Source organism: Homo sapiens, chromosome 1 (assembly GCF_000001405.40).
Source record: "Homo sapiens chromosome 1, GRCh38.p14 Primary Assembly".
Lineage (NCBI taxonomy): Eukaryota > Metazoa > Chordata > Mammalia > Primates > Hominidae > Homo > Homo sapiens.
Genome location: NC_000001.11, coordinates 184,966,108 through 184,987,449, shown reverse-complemented (window position 1 = coordinate 184,987,449; position 21,342 = coordinate 184,966,108). Strand labels below are relative to the sequence as shown.

The following is a 21,342-nucleotide window of genomic DNA, read 5'->3' as shown; positions in this document are numbered from 1 at the left end:
AAAGAGAGCAATAAAGGATGAAAATTGTCTTAATGACAAAATTTTGTCAGTTGTTGCTGGCATTTGTATTATTCACCATTTGTTCCATTTGTTACTATAGATGGCCCACTTTAAATGCCTTACATATCATTTAGAATAATCAAGTTAAAATGTAAAAGAACAGCTTTTACTTTAAAGTTTCTGCTGCTTTTGTACAAAATTAGGAATGGTGATAGTTAACCTTTAGCTTTGATTATATTTTGATCTGTCTGGAATTTATTTTTGTGTAAGGTTTGAGCTTTATTTTTTTCCAGATGGCTACCAGTTATTCCAGTAAAATACAATGCCTGTTAAACTGCTTTCAGCTATAAGTGGCAATAATCAACAAAAAACAGCTCAAACAATCAGTACATTTATTAACTCACATAACAAGAAATCTGGGATAAGGCCATTCCAGAGTTGCATAATTCAGGAGTTCAATGATGATTTTAAGGACCTTGGTTTTTTCTAGTTTCTTAGTTTGTTGACTTTATTCCTTTGAATAATTAGAAACTTAGGATGATGTCTCTTTTACATTGTATTCAAAATAAGCTTGGTGCTATAATAATTTCATTTGATTAAGTAATGACACTTTTGCACCACTAAACTTAGATGATTACATTTGTAGAACAATCTCACACTGCAAATCAGTAGAAGTAGGAATTACATCTTTCAAAACTTTCAGCTATTGTGTCCAATACAAAAATATGACTTTATAATTCTAATGGTGGCTATGTGGTTGCAATCTGAAGTAGGATTTGGAAAAATTGGGTTTAACTTTGACGGAATTAGTCAAGAATTCACCAAATCCTGCAGCACATCTGCACCTGCACCTGAGCCCAAGCAGCTAACCTTCCCACAAGTCACAGTGGAAGAAGCATCCCTGCTGTATCCAAGGCCAAAGGCGAAATCTTCCTTACATTGCTTTGTACATCATCCTCTGTTGCCCTCTTCAGGACTTCCTCACTCCGTGGAAACATTTCTGAAAGCCATGTTTAACTTGTTGCTGCTTTGTCCTCACCTCCCGTTCTTACCTCACTACATGTCAGTCAGGCTTTCCTTCCCCCGTTCTCCCATTTCCATATTAATAACAGTCCTTATCAAGGTTGTCCAGGAGACATCCAGGAAGCCAGACTCTTCTGTGCTCTTTCTCAGCCTTTTTTTTTTTTTTTCCTGGCTCCTCTTCCTCCAGAAAATATCTCCTAGTGCTCCAGACTGTCTCAGTCCTCCTTTCTTCCCTAACCACAGGGTTTCCCTAGAGCCATGGCTTTGAATATCATCTCTTTGTTGGTGATGTCCAAATCCATGTCGCCTCTCCTGACCTCTGTTTTGAAGTCCAGACTTATCTATCCAACTACGTTTTAGCATTTCCACTTGAATGTTTAATAAAAATTTCAGGCTTATTAAACCTGACAAAGTTGATTAAAAAAAATTTCAGACTTGACATGTCCAAAGCAGAGCTAATCATTTCCCCATTCTCCCAATTCATTTTCCAGAGTCTTCTCCATCACTGTAAATGGCATCTTCATTTGCCCAAATGCATCTAGCAGTAAGTCCTATAGGTACTTACAAATGTCTTGAGTCCAGCTACTGCTCGCCCTCTCTACTGTCAATCCTAGTCCAAGTGACAATCATTCAGCCTGGATTACTGGGGCAGTCTTCTAATTAGTCTCATGGCGTCATCTCTTCCCTTATCCAAGTCCATTCTCCACACAGTAGCCTGAGTGATTTTTCTAAAGTGAAAATTAGGTAATATGACTCCTTTCCTCAAAACCTTTTGAACAGTGTCTCATCACACCCTGTAAAAACCCACAACTAATTTTCCGGATACACAGTGTTCTACAGGGTTTGGTGTTGGCCCAGCTAACCTTGTCTCTGTTCATTTTCTTCTCCTCCTCATTCTGGTTGAAACACTATGGCTGTTTTATTTTCATGAAACACATCAAGCTTGTTTCCATCTCAGACCCTTCGTACTTGCATTTCCAATACCCTTCCTCCATACCTTTGCATGGCTGTCTCCTTGTCATTCAGGCCTCAGCAACCCTATGAGAGTCTTTACAGCATCCAGTTCTGAGTAATCTAAGTCAATTGTGTTTCTCTCCACCCTCCATCATTCTCCATCCCAATATTCTGTATTAGTATTTTTGTAGCATCATTTTATCAGGGCCTGCAATTATCTTATTCATTTACATGTTCATCACTTTTGCCACTGGAATATAAACTCCTTGAAGGCAGAGACTTTAACTGCCTTGTGCTCTGCTGTGTCCTCATTATCTGAAATAGTATACACTATTTGATAAATGTTTGTTAATTGATTTACTATTCCTTTCTCTGTTTTGGGCAGTCACTTTACCTTTTCTGGTCTCAGTTCCTTTACTATTAGGATGAGGAAGCTTGAAAAAGGGACACCTGAAAATTCCTTCTGGTTTAGTACACAATGGCCATGTTTTATTACCTACAGCAATAACAGAAAAACTCATGTTGCACCAGATTTGCGTCTGTTATAGAACACTCATTCGTTCAATAAACCTTTATTGAGCACTGACCATAAGCCTGGTGCTATTCCAGTCAGTGGATACCAAGCCATGGCAATAAAGATCATAGTGCATCTGTCTCAAAAAACCAAAACTAAACAAACACACAAACAAAAACTCCCCGACAAACAACAAAACCAAACAAAAAATCCCATTGAAAACCCAGAAAGTTGACACTGTCCTTGTTCTCCAGCTCGTTTTCTACTGATACTTTCATGATAGCTGTCTCAATATTGTTTAATTTATCTACACTGTGCTCTCTCTAAATTAAAGTTATTATAAATTAACGGTAATTTCCAAGAATTCTAAGATTAAATCATATAATTTACATGGCTGTAACTTCAATAACAGTATGTAAAACATGGCCGTTAAGGTTGCAAAATTTCTGCCAATCTGATTTAGTTCTAACCCAAAGTCTGCCATGTTTCCTAATTTAATTGCAGCATGACTTGAACTAGAAGTTAGAATTTTATGAATCTAGTTTTTTAAAAAATGAATAAAATGGGAGTAAGGTCGGACTATATTTACATATATTCAGATCATGAGGCGTGGAATCACTGCTAATTCTCTTGCCAAGATTTCAGCCAGCTGCTTTTAAATATAAATTGGAATTAGTGTATATGTGTAGTCAATAATTAATGAAATGTCTAGAATGAAAATAAATCAGTTTCAAAACTGACTATAGAGAATAACAAATGAATGAGAAAAGTAAATTGTTATATATTGTGGCAACTGCCATTTGTTGGCATGTGCTGCAAATCACTCATAGAAAATGATCTGCTTATATTTGCTTTTATCATTTATATAAAAGGATATAGTATAACTACAGAATATTTTAATCTTGCACACAAGCACTATATTTAAAGCCTTCTATTTGTCAAAATACTTTTTGTTGGGAAGACAGAAATCCAATTCACACTTGCTTAACAAACACAATGAGAGGATTTGTTTCATGTAACTGGGCAAACCAGGGCTCAACTAATGAGATATCATCAAAAAATTATTTTCTTTCAATCAAGGTCTGTCCTTCTGGTAGACAAATGTCCACTTGGTGGCTCAAGATTCCTATTCTACCAACTTATTGACCCCAGGGGAAAGCAACAGTTTTCTTCAATAACTACAGTAGAAAAATCCTGGGCAAGATCCTGATTAACCTAGTTTGGAAATAGACTACCATGATGTGTTTTGATGTTTAGATTACTCTTTCCTTCTTCTCCTTCAATACTGTTACTCTGGCAATGAGCTGATTTTAGCTAAATTTTACAAGGCATGCAATCTGATTATATGAATTCACCTTAAGATATTTAATATGATAGCTTTATAATTTGTAACCCAAATGAATTGATAATTGGTACAATGTCAAAATAGGAAAAAGATTTTAAGGCAGTATGGATGCAGATAATTTTAATTAGGTACAATAAGTCATGCCAATGTAGAAGAGCATATATTCCTTCCATAAACAAGGCATATAAATCGAGACATCTCTGCCTCACTCCCTACACCATTTGTGAGTGAAAATATTTAGAGGTATATGGGAAGGAATGCTGTGGGAGTGGTCTGTCCTTGGTTCAGGCAAAAAGGGGTACACTCTGTAGAGCACTGAAAAGCAATAATAAAACTAACTCAGCTTGCATTTTTTTAAATCACCATGTGCAGGAATTCTAAACAACATTAGTGACATAATACCCCACCCCACTTTGACGAATCAGTCCCACTGTTCCTACACGCCCTTGTGGTTCCACCACCAATACTTCTTCCCGGCTGGGTGCGGTGGCTCATGCCTGTAATCCCAGCATCTTGGGAGGCCAAAGCAGGTGAATCACTTAAGGTCAGGATTTCAAGACCAGCCTGGCCAACATAGTGAAACCCCATCTCTACTAAAAATACAAAAATTAGCTGAGTATAGTGGTGTGCACTCGTAGTCCCAGGTACTCGGGAGGCTGAGGCAGGAGAACTGCTTGAACCCAGGAGGAGGTTGCAATGAGCCGAGATCGTGCCACAGCACTCCAGCCTGGGTGACAGAGCGAGACCCTGTCTCAAAAAATAAATAAATAAAAACTTCTTCCCATCTCCCCATTCAAGCACAATAGAATAGAAATCAGAGCCCTGGCCTATTCTCGGCAACTACTGACACCTGCCTAAGAGAATTACTGTGCTGGCATTTTGCACCGTAAAGAGAAGAGGGAACGATGACTCTTAAGTCAAAAGAATGAAAAAAACCCTGTGCTTTACAAAATATAATTAATGTCAAAAATGTGTGTTATGAGCACATTTTGTGGGTACAAAGCTTACACATGTGTACAAGTTTGCATGTTAAAATACTAGAATTAGCCCCCTTAAATAAATTTAGCCGGAAAAGTTCTGTTCTCAAAGAGTGATTCACTTGTTAGCTGAGGAGAAAGAAGCTTGGATATTAATATTTGTAAGAAATCGCTGAATAATTCCAAACGACTGTTAAGCTAATCTAGATGTAGCAAAATGAATTTGATTTGGACCGGAGTCAGTGTTCTTTCCCACCCTGCCCAGTAGCTGTGGCCCCACGGGGAGCATCATCGGTGGCCCAGCAGGTGGCACTCTTCCCTTTGTGCACTAACACTAAACTAACTTCCCCAAATACAAGGTCCTTCAGAGCCTTGACTTCAGAAGAACCCATGTAATCTGTTTATCTTTGGCGGTAATATGGCTACAGTTTTCACAAGGGCAACTGTGCTGGTCTGGTATTTGTCAGATTTGAAAGACTGGTGCCTACACATCTAAACGTCTCCTTGGTTCTAGAGTTGTCATCCTTAGTTCCAAGCCTTTACTGGTTTCTGTTAAAATACTTGAACTTGTATTCTGTGTCTATGGTCTTATGCAAATACTAGAGGTTTATATATAATTGTGATGACTTACATTTGAAAAGCACATTGAGCAAGTGTTTCTCAACTTAAAAAATATCTGTCTTTTTCCAATAAAAATGCCGCACAGTCCTGGAATTCCTGCAACTTCAAGAGTCATTGATAAGCAGAAATTGGATTCCATCTTCAACATGTTACCTCTAGAAAAGATTTTATTCAGCTTGGCTTTCTATAGTTTGTATTATGAAGACAGTTATGTTTTGTTGTTCACATATACAATTAAAACATAGTAATACACATTTTCCCTTTCAAAATTGGTATTAATACCTGCCCCTGGGGAGTTTGATGTACTGGCCACAAAAGTATTATAACAAGCATATGAATAAAAAAGACTAGCACTGATAAAACAGTTAAAGTATCTTTTTATTTATCACTAGTTATATATTAGCTTCATTTAGAGAATGATAAATATGTAGGTATAGTCATATGTATTAAGTATATTACACATATGATCTTATCTAATTTTTGCAGATACCTATTTTGAAGATAAGGAATATGAAGCTTAGAAAATTTAAGTTATTTCCCAAGATCATGAGGCAAGCCAGTATCAGAATGAGGATTAAAGCCTAGTCTTTTCCACTGTAAATTTTGAGCCCCTAAGACAGATTGTATTAGATTATTATAACCATCTTTTGAGGCAGCTAGTAAGTAAACAAATTTATATATTTTTTAAAAATTTGTAAAATGACTTCCAAGTTAATCCATTTTGTATAAAAACCCTAGGTACAACAACCTATAAGAGATATTATTGATTAGGCTAGGCATTCTTTAGACATTACGTAAGGCTAAGAGGGAATGAGGAAAGATGAGAAGGTGGCAGAGACAAATCTGATTTTTAAATTTGCCTGCAGTTAGGTCAATATTCAGAAAAGAAAATCCAATATAGAGCACAGGGAAATATGTTTCCGAAAGAAAAATGTGTTTAATTTGCAATGTGTTTTACAGTAAAAGGGTTAATGTCTCTAATATAGATATAAAATGTTTCCATAACAATAAGGATAAGAAATCAATAGAAAAATGGAGAAGTACAAGAATAGGCAATTCACAAAGAAGGAACACATATGGCCAGAAAGCCCATGGAAAAAATATTCTTCCTCATTAAAAATTTCAAAATTGAGCAACAGAATATGACACCTATTTAGACACCCAAATTGACAAGTATTAATAATAATAATAATAATAATAGGCTAATTTTAAAAGATATTAAAATGTCCAGTGTAATATAGGGGTATGCAAATGAGAATTACACATTGTTAGTAGGTAGATGAATTAAGCTACATTTATACAGTGAAATACCATTGACCTAGAAATAAATATTTAGTTAAGTGGAAACATTCCATATGAAAAATTATGACACAGATTAAAGAATGTATAGAGCGCAACATCTCATTTTGGTGAATAAGTAATTCTAGTAAGTTTATATATACTTATAAATTATAATTATGCATGTATTCATAATTATATGTGAATCTGTAGGAATTTACACCAAACTGGTAATTGGGGCTATCTAAAGATATCGATGTTGGGATTTGGACATTTTTCTCCATTTTTCTTATTATTTATCTATATTTTCTAATTTTTTATAGTAAAACTTGGATTACTTACGTAAATAAACAAAATCAAGATTTAAGATAAAAGCATTATTATGGTTAAGAGGATGAACTCAAGTCAGACAAGCCCAGGTCACAGGTGATCTTAGATAAATTCCTAAAACTTCTTAACCTTGGTTTCCTCATCTGTGAAGTGATGATAATAATAGTGCTTGCCTTAGTGGGTTTTTGTGAAGATTAAATTAGTAATGATGTAAACTACCGTGTGCACTTATCAATTAATCAATTACAGAATTTCTACTGCTATATCACAAGGCTGTATAAGGTACTTGGAGAATTACAAAGAAGTTTGAAATAGTCTCTGCTCTGCAGGCAGTTAAGTAGATAGATTCCACTAACTCATATGAGACCATGGCAAACAAGGGCTTCATAGTTCTATGATGTGCAAGGGAATCCAAAACACACACACACACACACACACACACACACACACATTTTAAAGATGCTAAATGACTACTGAACTAATTCGAGCCTTTGGCAAAAAGGGTGAATTTATGGTATACGAATTATATCTCAGTGAAGATGTTTAAAAAGTAATCATTTTAGTGTGTGATAATTACCTTAAAGAAATGGTCTTAAGAGTATTTTAATACAAAATACAGATACAGTACAGAAACTAACATTGCAAAGAAAATTTTCTGAAGTAGCTGATTTGAATAATGTGAAATTGAATCTGGTTCATAAAGTTATTGAATTGCTTGGAGACTCATTTTTAGTGTGTGATTAATAAAATGATGCCCACATAGGATTTGCAAATATTAAATACTATGACTAAAATAATGAATTCCTTAATTTTTCCTGTAAACCACTGGGGGAAAAAGAACTTTGTTTGGAGGAAGAAAGGAAGCCGTAGCTCTTTCTTCATGTAACATCAATAAGTTTCAAGGTCCAATTAAAATTTCACCTTCTCTAGAAAATTGCTTTCCTTCCTCACTTTTGCCCTTTTTGATAATAATAATCCTAGCTTCCCTTTACTGAACACTCACTATGCTCTTGGGAATATGTCAAGTCATTCATAGACCTGATCAAACTTAATTTTGACAACAGTTCATGAGGTAAATGTAATTAGCTCCACTTAACAGATGAGACTGAGACAAGTAAGTTAAGCAACTTGACCAGGTCACATGGTTATTAATTAATTCAAAGCTGGAATTGCCAGGTTACAAACCTGCTAACCTGTAATCCTATGCTATATGAATCCATCTTTAAAAATATTTTATTCTATTTTTTTGACTTTTATTTTAATTTCAGGGGTACACGTGCAGGTTTATTCTGTAGAGAAATTACCTGTTGTGGGGGTTTGGTGTATATATTATTTTGTCACCTAGGTAATAAGTATAGTACCCAATTGGTAGTTTTTTTGTTTTGTTTTGTGTTTTTGAGACAGGGTCTTGCTCTGTTGCCCAGGCTGGAATGCAGGGGCACAATCTCAGCTCATTGCAACCTCTGCCTCCTGGTATCAAGTGATTCTCCCACCTCAGCCTCCAGAGTAGCTGGAACAATAGACACATGCCACCTCGTCTGGCTAATTTTTTTGGTATTTTTTGTAGAGATGGGGTTTTGTTTTGTTGCCCAGGTTGGTCTTGAACTCCCAGACTTAAGTGATCCTCCTGCCTTGGCCTCCCAAAGTGCTAGGATTACAGGCATGAGCCACTGTGCTTGGCTGATAGGTAGTTTTTTTATCCTAGCCCTTTTTCCACCCTCCACCCTCAAATAGGCCCTGATGTCTATTGTTCCCTTCTTTAAGTCCATGTGTACTCAAAGTTTAGCTGCCATTTATAAGTGAGAACATGTGGCATTTGGTTTTCTGTTCCTGTGTTAATTCACTTAGGATAATTGCCTCCAGCTCCATCCACTTTGTTGCAAAGGACATGATCTCATTCTTTTTTATGGCTGTGTAGTCTTCCATGGAGTATATGTACCGCATTTTCTTTATCTAGTCTACTGTTGATGGGCATTTGGGTTGATTCCATGTCTTTGGTATTGTGAATAGCACTGCAATGAACATATGTATGTATATGTCTTTATGGTATAGTGATTTATATTCCTTTGGGTAATATCCAATAATGGGATTGTTGGGTTGAATGGTAGTTCTAAGTTCTTTGAGAAATTGCCAAACTGTTTTCCGCAGTGGCTAAACTAATTTACATTCCCACCAGCAGTGGTAGCTTTTTTTTTTTTTTTTTTTTTTTTTTGAGACGGAGTCTCGCTCTGTCGCCCAGGCTGGAGTGCAGTGGCGCGATCTCGGCTCACTGCAAGCTCCGCCTCCCGGGTTCACGCCATTCTCCTGCCTCAGCCTCCCGAGTAGCTGGGACTACAGGCGCCCGCCAGAACGCCCGGCTAATTTTTTGTATTTTTAGTAGAGACGGGGTTTCACCGTGTTAGCCAGGATGGTCTCCATCTCCTGATCTCGTGATCTGCCCGCCTCGGTCTCCCAAAGTGCTGGGATTACAGGCGTGAGCCACTGCACCCCACCGGAACTTTTTAATAATAGCTCTCTAACTGGTATGAGATGGTATCTCATTGTGGTTTTGATTTGTATTTCTCTAATGATTAGTGATGTTGAGCATTTTTTCATATGCTTGTTGGCTGTGTATATGTCTTCTTTGGAAAAGTGTCTGCTTATGTCCTTTGCCCACTTTTTAATGGAGTTGTTTGTTTATTACTTGCTACTTTAAATTTCTTACAGATTCTGGATATTAGATCTCTGTTAGATGCATAGTTCACAAATATATTCTCCCATTCTCTGAGTTGTCTATTTACTCTGTTGATAGTTTCTTTTGCTGTGCAGAAGCTCTTTAGTCAAATCAGGTCCCATTTGTCAATTTTTGTTCTTGTTGCAACTGCTTTTCATGTCTTCATCATGAAATCTTTGCCAGTGCCTATGTCTAGAATGGTATTCCTAGATTTCTTCAAGAGTTTTTGTAGTTTTGGGTTTTACACTTAAGTCTTTAATCCATCTTGAGTTGATTTTTGTGTATGGTATAATATAAAGAATGGGTCCAGCCGGGCATGGTGGCTCACGCCTGTAATCCCAGCACTTTGAGAGGCCGAGGCGGGCGAATCATGAGGTCAAGAGATCGAGACCATCCTGGCCAAAATGGTGAAACCCCATCTCTATTAAAAATACAAAATTAGCTGGGTGTGGTGGCACACGCCTGTAGTCCCATCTACTCAGGAGGCTGAGGCAGGAGAATCCCTTGAACTCAAGAGGCAGAGGTTGCAGTGAGCCGAGGTAGCGGCACTGCACTCCAGCCTGGTGACAGAGCAAGACTCCGTCTAAAAAAAAAGAAAAAAGAAGGGGTCGAGTTTCAATCACCTGCATATGGCTAGCCAGTTATTCCAGCACCATTTATTGAATAGGGAGAGTCCTTTCCCCATTGCTTTTGTCAGCTTTGTTGAAGATCAGATGGTTGTAGGTGTGCACCTTTATTTCTGGTTTATTTCTCTATTCTGTTCCATTGGTCTATGTATCTGTTTTTGTCCAATATTTTTGGTATACTGTTTTTGTACCAGCATTATGCTGTTTTGGTGACTGTACCCTTCTAGTATAGTTTGAAGTCAGATCATGCCATGCCAACAGCTTTGTTCTTTTTGCTTAGGATTGCACTAGCTATTCAGGCTCTTTTTTAGTTTCATCTGAATTTTAGAATAGTTTTTTTCTAATTCTGTGAGGCATGTCTTTGGTAGTTTGATAGGAAGAGCTTTGAATCTGTACATTGCTCTGGGCAGTATGACCATTTTAACAATATTGATTCTTCTTATCTATGAGCATTGAATGTTTTTCCATTTGTTTGTGTGAATCCATCTTTGTACTCTGTTTCATCCGTGAATATTTACAAATGAGTGGATAAGGGTAGATGAGGATAATCAGTCCTTTCTCAGAGTATTCCTGAAGTAGAGGTGACAAGCTAAAACTACACTTCTGGCAGGAGATCCAAGCTAGTTTTCTTCAATAACAATAACAGTATTCTGAGGCACAGTTATAGCAATTTATATAGTCAAAGAAATTACTTCTCCAAGAAGATACACTTAATTCTAGGAGCCAACTAGAGTATTGAGAGAAGAGTTCAACACTAAATATTTTAAATCATTGAGTTGTTATCTGGAAATGCTTGAGATCACAGTTTTTGTTGAGTACAGATTTTTACATTTTATTTTTCATTCATTCACTTATTCAGTGGTTATCTACTGGACACCTACTACATGCTAGGTGCTCTTCTAGGCATTTGAAATACAGCAGAGGACAGAATAGACAAAAAAATCCCTGCCATAAGAGGAAAAATAATAATAAAAAAGGAAACAGAAATTTTGAGGGAAAAAGCCCCAAGAAACAACAATAACAACAAAGAAAATCCCTGATCTTATAGAGTTTACATCGCAGTGGGGGAAGATAGACAAAGAAATATGTGTTAGATGATACTAAGTGATATGAAACAGAAATAATGAAGAGCAAGTGGCAGAGAGAGGTGATGGCTGGTGTTCCTGGGTCAAGGAGAACCTCTCTGAATTACTAGCATTAAAGTGGAGGCTTGAATGAAATGACTGAGAGAGTAACCTATGTGAATATCTGAAGGAAGAGCATCCTACAGAAATGAAAAACAAGTGCAAAGGCCCTGAGCTTGATGTGTCTCAGAAAGAGTAAAAAAAAAGGCTAGTAGGGCTGGAACAGAGAGAACAAGGAGTGGTGGTAGAGAAGATCACAGAGGAAACTCCACCTAGGCCCTGATAGACGTCGTGGCTTTTCTCTGAAGAAGGTAGATCAGTTAGGCAGCTAGTGTAATGAATAAGGTGAGGAATGATATGGGATGTCAGTAGAGGGGATGAGAATTGGTTGGCTATTGGACATATTTAAAAGCTGAATTGACAGGATTTACTGACAGATTGGAATGTAGAGTGTGAGAGATTGGGTGTGAGTGTGATGAAATAATTGTGTTAAAGTGCAAGTTAGCTAATAGGGAAGGCGGGGGTGTGTGGGAAAGCCTTCAAAGTCCTCCTCAGGCCTGGTTCTAGTGTATACAGACCATTTGACCTTGAGGTTAAGTCAATAGGAGTCGCAAAATAACTGACTACTAAGAATAGGATGAAATCAGCGGTGACCCCTCTGCCCAAGTGGGTCTTGTTCCGAGAGGCTGCCAAGCTAAATAGTGGTTGTGGGAAAAGAACAAATATCTTTTCTAATGATTGATTTCCAGTTAAGGAGAGGAATGGAAAGTAAAGGGGTAAGGACAGACGTTCATCAAGTCTTAGGAAGTTTCAGGGCTGGGAGTATATTGCAGGACCAAGCCTTAGTTTTTCCCTGTCTTTCCATTTTTTTTTCTCTTTCCTTTTTTCCTCATTTCCCCACTCCCTCCTTGGTCCAGGTTCTCGCCTGCAGAAAGGTATAGTTTACCTCTAGTTCTCAAACTTCAGCGGGCATCAGAATTCCCTGGAGGGTTTGTGCAAACACAGATTGCTGGGCTCCACTCCCACAGATTCTAAGTGTGTGTGTGTCTGTGTGTGTGTAGAGGGGTGGTGGACGAAAGCGCTGAGATTTTGTATTTCTAACAGGCTCCCAGGTAATGCTTGGGAAGAACTGTTGCTTCTTGGACAGCAACACTTACAAGGCAACGTGATCTTGAGCTCCACCTCGAAGGATGTGAGCTGGGAAAGTTCCAGCTCACAGAGATTTAGTCACTTGAGAAATGGTCCACTTCCTCCAAGGTGTTTCTTGGATGCCCCAAAGGGATGAAAACAAGAAGTGACCGTGGGCGAGGAGGAGGAGCTGGCCGACCTCCTCGGTTGCCAGCCCGTCGGAGCTCACCAGCTAGGCGAGGGCGGGAAGACAGCCCCCGGGCCGGCCCACGGATCATCAGAAGGCGCGGACCTGGAGGAGGCGCCCCAGAAGGCGACGCCTCTTGCCTCCTGTCTCTCGCCTCTCGAAGGAAGTTTGCTCTTAATTTCAGAGCCGGGTTCGCCGTCGGATCAACCTCCAGGAGCTAGCAGCGGGCGCGGACCGGGCAGTTTCCGCGCTCAGCACAGGCAGCTCGCGGTCATGGGCGGCTCAGCCTCCAGCCAGCTGGACGAGGGCAAGTGCGCTTACATCCGAGGTACGCCCGCCCGCCCGGGGGCCTGGGGAGCACCCTGACCCGTGCACCAGGCTGGCTGCCGCGGTCGGGGCCCCAAGGGGCGCGCCCCGGGCCCTCTCCCTGTAGCGCGCGGGGATCCCCGACCGCAGCCCGCCCGCGCGAGTCGGGTTTCCTGCCCCAGCCGGCGCGCTCCGGCGCGGGTGTGGACCGGGGACCGGGAGGGCTTGGGAGCGAGGCAGGTGCAGGATGCGGGTGGGGACGCCGGCGCCTTCGCCGCTCCCGCCGCCTCGGGGTCAGTGCCGCCCCCGCCCGGCGCACTTCGCCCTCCAGTACCTGCCCTGGACTGAGTTCTGAGCGGTTTCTGAACTGGCCGCCAAGAGAGCAGCGGGGATATCCCGCGTTTCTAGAGATACCCCTGGGGATTCCCGGCAGCTAAAGCAGAATTTCCCTCTTAGTAATGTTGGCCTGGCTTTGGAAAGCGCGGCGTTGGCCGCAGCTTCGCTCGCACTTCATCCTAGCACTTGCAGGATGATTTCATCAGCGGCAAAAAGGACAATGTCATGCCGTTCCCTTCCCGCCCCGGAGAGGGGCGAAGCAAAAGAGGAACACTGGCGTGCTTTGTAACTGCCCGAAAGTTACAGATGGGGAGAAACTCATTTAGGGAGACCCTCAGAGATGTGGGGACTCAGTAGAGAGCGTGAGGCTGCAAAACAAACAAAACAAAACCCAAACCGAACTGAAACTGCAGGAAGTCCTGACTCGTTATCTCCTTTATTTCCTGGGCGTATTTGGCCTCCCCTCTTCTCACCCCCCACCCCAAACTTGCCTTCAACCGCTACCTAACATTTGGTTATCTTACCAATTTACTGTCTTTCCCCCGCCCCGCCGCCAGATCCCCCACCCTCGGCTTCAGAAATATCTTCCAGACTATGTATTAAACTCTAGGTTTATTTGGCCCTTGAATCCTTTCCTAAGAGGAAATCATTTATTTGGTGTTCTTATTCCACATTTGTTTTCAGTCACCACAACATTTAAGACCGTTTTAAAAAGATATCAAATCAGGGTACGTGAAGAGCAACGGAGCTGATTTTACAGATTCCTGCTCTGGTGCTTTTGGAGGTAAAAGATCCTCAACAACCTGTACTGTCAGGGGATAACACTTGGTCAAGTATCTCTTTGCTTTTGTTTGTTAAAGGGGAAAAGACGGATGATTTATTTATATTAGTAAAAGAGCTGAACTAAGCTTAAAAGAAATAAATGAAGCCTGCCTTAGTCTTAAAAATGTGGCTACATGCTTGTGTTACCAGTGTATAGGGACTGAAAGGGCAATCAACAGAACGTAGTGAGAAAGGGCTTGCATTTGAATGTTAGCAAAGTTGTGTTTAAGGCATTTATATAAGACTTTATTTCACTGGAAAGCTTAGGAGCACCTAATGTGGACGCATGGCCAAGTACACTAATCATTTGAAGTTAAGCAATGTGAAGGATTAACATGCTTAAAGAAGACTTCCTGGCCGTGCCATTTGTTGCTATTGATGCAAACATTGTACTCAGATAATAAGAAAATGCTATTAATTTCTTTATTCTGAAAGCTATTAAATTATTACATATACAAAAGTACGAGGGAGTTAGGGCAGATGAAGAACTTGTAATGCAAGTGTTTGAATGAGTAAACCTATAGCATATGGTGTGACAGTCATTACATTTCCCAGTCTTGTTCAGCTTTCTCTCTTCATTCTATATTCAGGAGGGCACTTGCAAGGTATGTGTAGTGGGAGAGGGAAGAGAAGAGTTAAAGTTAGAATACCTCCAGGGAAAAAGACTCATCACTTCATGTGAGAATGCTAGTCTTGCCAAAAGAGAAAAGAACCTTGGAAAAATGCATGGTGTTGTACATTGTTAGTGCATGAGCAAATGAGGGTCACAGGGCTGTGATTTCCTGATGGTTTTGAAGCCCAGGTTCCTGAGTAAAATCATAGCCCTATCTTTACCTCTTTGCCCATTTTTTAGCCTATAAATATTCTCAAGCTTTGATTCAATTGTAAGCAAAACGATTGGAAGTATGACAGTAAAGTTTAAATATACTTTTATGACCTGTTTCTCATAAAGTAGCCATCAGTGAAATATAGATTTGAAAGCTCCTGAAGCTGAGACAATAACTTTCTTTTAAGCTTGATAAACTTTGCTAACAAGGAGAGTAGCTAGTCAATATATTTTGAGTGACTTTTGTTAACTTTATTTTGTATGCATCATAAACCGCTGTATGCTACTGACGCTGAATCAGCCTTTACTTTAAGACAAATCATTTAACAGCTGCCATTCCTTGTGTGCCTCAAAACATCTGTGTCATATGGATGTTTTGAAAATACATTGTTTCTTAGGATTTAGTTAATCTTCAGGTAAAGATATATCATCTACGTTAAGGAGTTACTTCATTTCTAAAGATGTTAGTTTGGGAAATTACGGCAATGCTCATGTTTCTTACAACAGAATAAATTTTTAGGATTGTTTCTAGAAGCCTTTCAGTAGTGTCCCTTGATAAGATGTTTCTATTAATAAATAATACTGAGACCAACTTGTGATCACATGAGCTGTGTCATATGTTAGTCTTAAGTGATGCTTTTAGCACTGACCTAAAATGATCCTTTTTTTTTGAGACAGAGTCTCACTCTGTCACCAAGCTGGAGTGTAGTGGCACGATCTCGGATCACTGCAACCTCTGACTCCCTGGTCCAAGTGATTCTCCTGCCTCAGCCTCCCGAATAGCTAGGATTACAGCCACGCACCACCATGCCCAGCTAATTTTTGTATTTTTAGTAGAGACGGGGTTTCACCATGTGGGCCAGGATGGCTTCGATCTCCTGACCTTGTGATCTGCCTGCCTCGGCCTCCCAAAGTGCTGGGATTATAGGCATGAGATACCGTGCCCAGCCAATCTTTTTTTTAATGAGGAAGAAAGCTCATAGATTCCAGGCATCAGTGATCAGTTTGGGTGCTCTTCTCTCTTTATGCCATGTTTTCTTTTCTTTTCTTTTTTTAGTTTTCTGAGATAGGGTCTCACTCTGTTACGCAGGCTGAGTGCAGTGGTACAATCACTGTGAGCCTTGACCTCCCCTGGCTCAGGTGATCCTCCCACCTCAGCCTCCTGAGTAGCTGAAACTGCAGGTGTGTGCCACCACGCCCAGCTAATTGTATTTTTTGTAGAGATGGGATTTTGCCATGTTGCCCAGGCAGGTCTCAAACTTCTGGGCTCAAGCAGTCTTCCCGCCTTGGCCTCCCAAAGTGCTGGGATTACAGGCATGAGTCACCATGCCCGGCCTCTTTTTCTGTAAAGCTTTTGGTATGCATGAAATTAAACTATAGCTTAAAAAAAAACCCCAAAACAAAACCAAAAAACCCCCCACACTGTGTTTTCCTGTTTATGCAATAATTTTATTTCCTTCTAAAAATTACCCTTGAATTTTTAACGAATCAAAAAGAAAGCAAACCTGAAAGATCTCCCACATAAGAAGTCCTGTGGAGGGTCAGAAAAGTACTGGACAGTCAGTGCCGCAGCTGAAAACCATGGGATAAACAGATCCTAGTGGGCACTTGCAGGCCTGCCAGCAGCAAATACCAGTTAGGAAAACTGTTTTCCCCCACTGGATTTATTATTGCATAGTCAGTTACATAATATATAAAGGGCCCAGTGGCTTCCTCCAAAAGCTTCTCAATGATCTGATGCTTATAAAATAAGAAATGAGTTTCAGCTTTAAAATAGCACATATTTTTCTCAGGGAAGTTCCCTCTTATTTATACAAGGGTTAACTTAGGTGGCTAGATACAAAGTTTAAAGTGATGTGTCTAGAATGAAGTCTCCATGGGCAAGGTGGAGGATGGGGAGAGCTGTACACATCTGTAGTCTACTTAGTGTGGATGTGTCGTACTAGTCCACACATTTGCTTCTTCGGTCATAATTTGTTGGTGGGAGATGGGCATAAGAACTGGTCTGACTTAACCTGAATATTTTTGGTAGTGTGATCTTAGAGTCCAAGTTGGCTAGTAATGGCAATATACTATGATGAGAAAGTTAGGAAATGCATTATGGTAGACACCGTGGTATGTCAACCCAACATCTTTTTCCCACTCCTCCATTTTTTTTTTTTTTTTTTTTGAGACAGGGTCTCACTCTGTCACCCAGACTAGAGTGCAGTGGGACAGTCATGGCTCACTGCAGCCTCGACCTCCCTGGGCTCAAGCGATCCTCCCACCTCACCCTCCTTAGTAGCTGGGGGTACAGGCATGTGCCACCATGCCCAGGTAGTTTTTTTGTATTTTTTTGTAGAGACGGGGTTTCGCCATGTTTCCCAGGCTAATCTCAAACTCCTGAGCTCAAGTGAGCCACCTGCCTTGGCCTCCTAAAGTTCTGGGATTACAGGCATGAGCCTCTGTGCCCAGCCCCCATTCCTTTTTCTAACAGAACTCCAGTTTTGTTCAGGCATTAAAACTCCTGGCCAGGTTTGGTGGCTCACACCTGTAATCCCGGCACTTTGGGAGGCTGAAGCAGTAGGATTGCCTGAGCCCAGAAGTTTGAGACCAGCCTGGGCAACATGACAAGACCTTGTCTCTCTCTTTAAAAAAAAAAAAAAAAGAAAGAAACTCCTGATATTGCCCTCTGTTTCAGAGACACTAGCCCCATTTAAGGTCCCTGAAAGGTGGCTGCTGATTGGTCTGTACCTGTTGTGGTGGTGTGGTCTCCTTGCCAGTGATTATAGTAGGCATGGGATTATGTTGCCAGCTGGTCAGTGATGCTTGAGGGGAAGTTTGCCACCTGCTTCTAGGCGACTTTTCTTCCCTTTTAAAAAGGAGGCAAAGTGAAGGGCACTTCTTCTCCATCTTTTGACTTTGTTGCATCTGAATGTGATGCCTGCAACTGCTGTTTTTATCTTGATGAGCAGGAGGGGAGCTAGCCTAAAGACAAAGCCAATACTTGGAGCACTGCAAAGCTGAGGTGTCTCAGAGAAAAGAAGCTAGAGCCCTGACAAACTTTGCTGATAGCCACTATATACTAACCCTGCATAATTCGTATTGTGAGAGCCACTAAATCCCCTTTGAATTGGAATAGTGAAGATTGCTAGTTATCCACAATAGCATTCTCCCATTATGTTTAATGATAGAATCCCCAAATTTTAGCTGTCCACATGAACTCCCATAATAAAGATATTTCCCAAACTCCTTTGCAACTAAATGGGAGTATGTAGCTGAGTTATGGCCAATGGGATGTAGATAGAAGTGCTGTTCTAGAAAGTGACATTAAAGGGGAAGGGTATGACCATCTTCGTCCAAGTCTCCACACTGCTGGCTGGATTGTAACCATGGCTGGACAGCTGTCATGGACCATGAGGTGTCCTTTCAAGAAGGAGCACATGTAGGGCAGAGTAACTGGACAAAAGGAGGCTAAGTTCCTGTGGTTTCATAGAGAAGAACCTCCATACCAGCCCTGGACCATTTACCTCTGGACCTTAAAAAGAAAGAAAGAAAGAAAGAAACTTCCATCTCTTTAAGCCAGTGTTATTGTGGTTTTATTGTTGTCCATAGACAAACCTCATTCTATCTAATACAGTTATCTTCTTTTTACGTGCGGCCCAAAGCATCCTAACCAGTATACTAAATGCTGCCTTATTGGGTCCCCTTTCAGAAAAAGTAATCCAAAGAAAGTAGAAAGTGGGTAAAGATTATAGTATTTGTCTCAGCTCTAAATTTGTAGACATGAATAGGCTTTTGTAAGAAGTGAGAAATTGCAGCTCCTCCAGAGTAGTGGGGATGGAGGAAACAGGAGAAAGAGGGTCCACTATGAATAGTGCACAAATGCATATTGATCACTTTATATTTTAAGTGAAAAAAAATGCCTTCAAGCATGCCAGACTACCAAGGAAGCTAGCAGGAGTTTCAAATAAGTAAAACTACTGCAAATTAGGAGTTGCTAGTATCAATAATTACTTTCTATTTCCTTTGGTCTTTGTGAATTGAAACCAATACTTTAGAAATGGGAAGCTCTTTAGGAAACCAAATCTCATGTTGCAAAGCCATGAAGGATTTTGTGAGTTGTGATTTCTTTTTTTTTTTTTTTTTTTGAGACGGAGTCTCGCTCTGTCGCCCAGGCCGGACTGCGGACTGCAGTGGCGCAATCTCGGCTCACTGCAAGCTCCGCTTCCCGGGTTCACGCCATTCTCCTGCCTCAGCCTCCCCAGTAGCTGGGACTACAGGCCCCCGCCACCGCGCCCGGCTAATTTTTTGTATTTTTAGTAGAGACGGGGTTTCACCTTGTTAGCCAGGATGGTCTCGATCTCCTGACCTCATGATCCACCCGCCTCGGCCTCCCAAAGTGCTGGGATTACAGGCGTGAGCCACCGCGCCCGGCCGTGAGTTGTGATTTCTAAGAGTCAACCACAAAGACAGAAAAGACAGTAGACTGAGACAGATTAACATTTTCTCCTGTACTTGTGGAACAAAGAGTGACTTTCCCTCTTGTGGCTTCTAATACAAGCCTTGATAAATCCCATGGAGTTAGATGATGAATCAAGCCCTGGTCTTGATGAAAAACTTCTTTTTACTATGGACGTTGGCTGTAAGAGGGCCACATCATCAAAGGTGCTCTAGTAATAGTAACTACTAGGATGACAATAGTAATTTTTATTATCTTTTACTGTGAACTACTGAGCTTTTTACTTTATTGTAATCTCTGGGAAGGTTTGAACTGGGTTCACAGGTAGAAAGTGCAATAGCAGGAGCCCAATTTGTAAAGGTAGTTTCTAATTTCATTAATATAAATGTACTGTGAACGTTTTACAAAATATGCAGTGTGAATCATGGCAGTGAACTTTAATCTCCTAATCAGAAATTTTAATTTTTTTTAGTATAGCTGGGTAACTCTAAGAAATAAGGTACATATAACAATTTGCACTGTGAAATGGGAAATGAAGTCAGAAGTGAAGATAAAAGCATAATGGAAAGGAAGACAGGAGAATAAAAGCACAATTCATCTGCTACAGTCTGTTTAAGGCACTTTCCCAACAGTTCAAAACTAACACACATATGTACACACACACACACACACACACACAGAGAGAGAGAGAGAGGGAGGGAAAGAGAGAGAAAGAGATTTAACAGAACCCCAAATGCAATACAGATTTTCTCCTTTGAAACTGGAAAATTCATTTTAAAAACAGACTAGCAAGTTGCTGCCAATGCGAAAATGCATGCCAGCTTTTAAAAAGTGCCCCCTACCTTGGTACTGTATGTTTTTTCTCACTTAGAAAAGAGAATAAACGCTTTAGAGGTATGAAAGCAATTAATTCACTTTTGCAAATTGCAGGTTCTAGGACCTAAGGAAGTTTGTATTTCTATGCTTGATGTTGTATGGAATGAGTCTATAGGATTAAAATAAATTAATAGTTTTTACTAGGAGCCCCAAAGTGACTTTTAAAAGGTCCATGGTCTCAAGGAATTTTGGAAGAAGGGTAAATGTCTCTATGCCAAACCATGTGGTTTTTTTTCTTTTTCCTTTTTAAAAACTATTTTTATTTTAAAAGAAAACATAGGCCCAGACAGCCACACAAAACAAATGCATAGCTTAGTGAATCATTATAAGGCAAATACTTAGTAGCCACTACGCAGGTCAAGACATAGAAAGAGCTTCACTAGTCATCAAAGGAGGCTTCTGTGTGCCCCGTCCCAGTTCTAGACCTCTTTGTTTCTCCAAAAATGACCACTATTTTCAGTTATCTATTTATAACTACCTCAAAGATCCTGACTCTTAAAACAGGTATTTATTTGCTCACAATTCTGCTGAACTGGGTCCAGGCTGGGTGGTTCTACTTTTTATTTTTGCTGGTGGTCATTCCTGTGGATGCATGCATCTGGTGGATCAGCTGGTGGCTGGACTTAGCTGACAAGGCTTTCTTTCTCTCCAGGTGGCCTTTCTACATGACCTCTCCAATAGGATACTGAACTGTTTAAATGGTGGGTCAGGATCTTACATTGCTAGAGTGTAAAAGCATGTAGAAGCTTCTAGGACTTCTTGTGGCTTAGGCCTGGAATGGCGCCACATTACTCTGCCACATTTTGTTGGTTAAAGCTGGTCTCAGAGCCAGCCCAGATTCAAGAGAGGACTACACACAGGCATGAACACCTATGCAAGGGCTACCCTGGTAACAGACTACCACCTCACTAATCC

General features: G+C 40.4%; 1 protein-coding gene across 3 annotated transcripts in view, besides 4 other annotated features; it reads left to right on the top strand.

Annotated features, from left to right (window-relative positions):
• Nucleotides 779-1,073: a silencer, noted in NCBI's record as "tiled region #9576; K562 Repressive DNase unmatched - State 12:CtcfO". NCBI's record gives its function as "represses a minimal TATA promoter and a strong SV40 promoter by Sharpr-MPRA in K562 cells {active_cell/tissue: K562}" and the evidence as "EXISTENCE:reporter gene assay evidence [ECO:0000049][PMID:27701403]".
• Nucleotides 5,049-5,168: a silencer, noted in NCBI's record as "silent region_1642". NCBI's record gives its function as "represses an Ori minimal core promoter by ATAC-STARR-seq in GM12878 lymphoblastoid cells {active_cell/tissue: GM12878}" and the evidence as "EXISTENCE:reporter gene assay evidence [ECO:0000049][PMID:35858748]".
• Nucleotides 12,942-21,342, top strand: part of NIBAN1 (niban apoptosis regulator 1) — a 183,477-nt gene continuing 175,076 nt past the window's right edge. For all 3 annotated transcript variants that reach the window (XM_047444098.1, XM_047444102.1, NM_052966.4), the window contains exon 1: nucleotides 12,942-13,148. In XM_047444098.1, coding sequence (XP_047300054.1) covers nucleotides 13,094-13,148 — 55 coding nt within the window. In that variant the 5' untranslated portion in view covers nucleotides 12,942-13,093. The remainder of the gene's footprint in view (nucleotides 13,149-21,342) is intronic.
• Nucleotides 13,158-13,477: a silencer, noted in NCBI's record as "silent region_1641". NCBI's record gives its function as "represses an Ori minimal core promoter by ATAC-STARR-seq in GM12878 lymphoblastoid cells {active_cell/tissue: GM12878}" and the evidence as "EXISTENCE:reporter gene assay evidence [ECO:0000049][PMID:35858748]".
• Nucleotides 13,588-13,757: an enhancer, noted in NCBI's record as "active region_2240". NCBI's record gives its function as "activates an Ori minimal core promoter by ATAC-STARR-seq in GM12878 lymphoblastoid cells {active_cell/tissue: GM12878}" and the evidence as "EXISTENCE:reporter gene assay evidence [ECO:0000049][PMID:35858748]".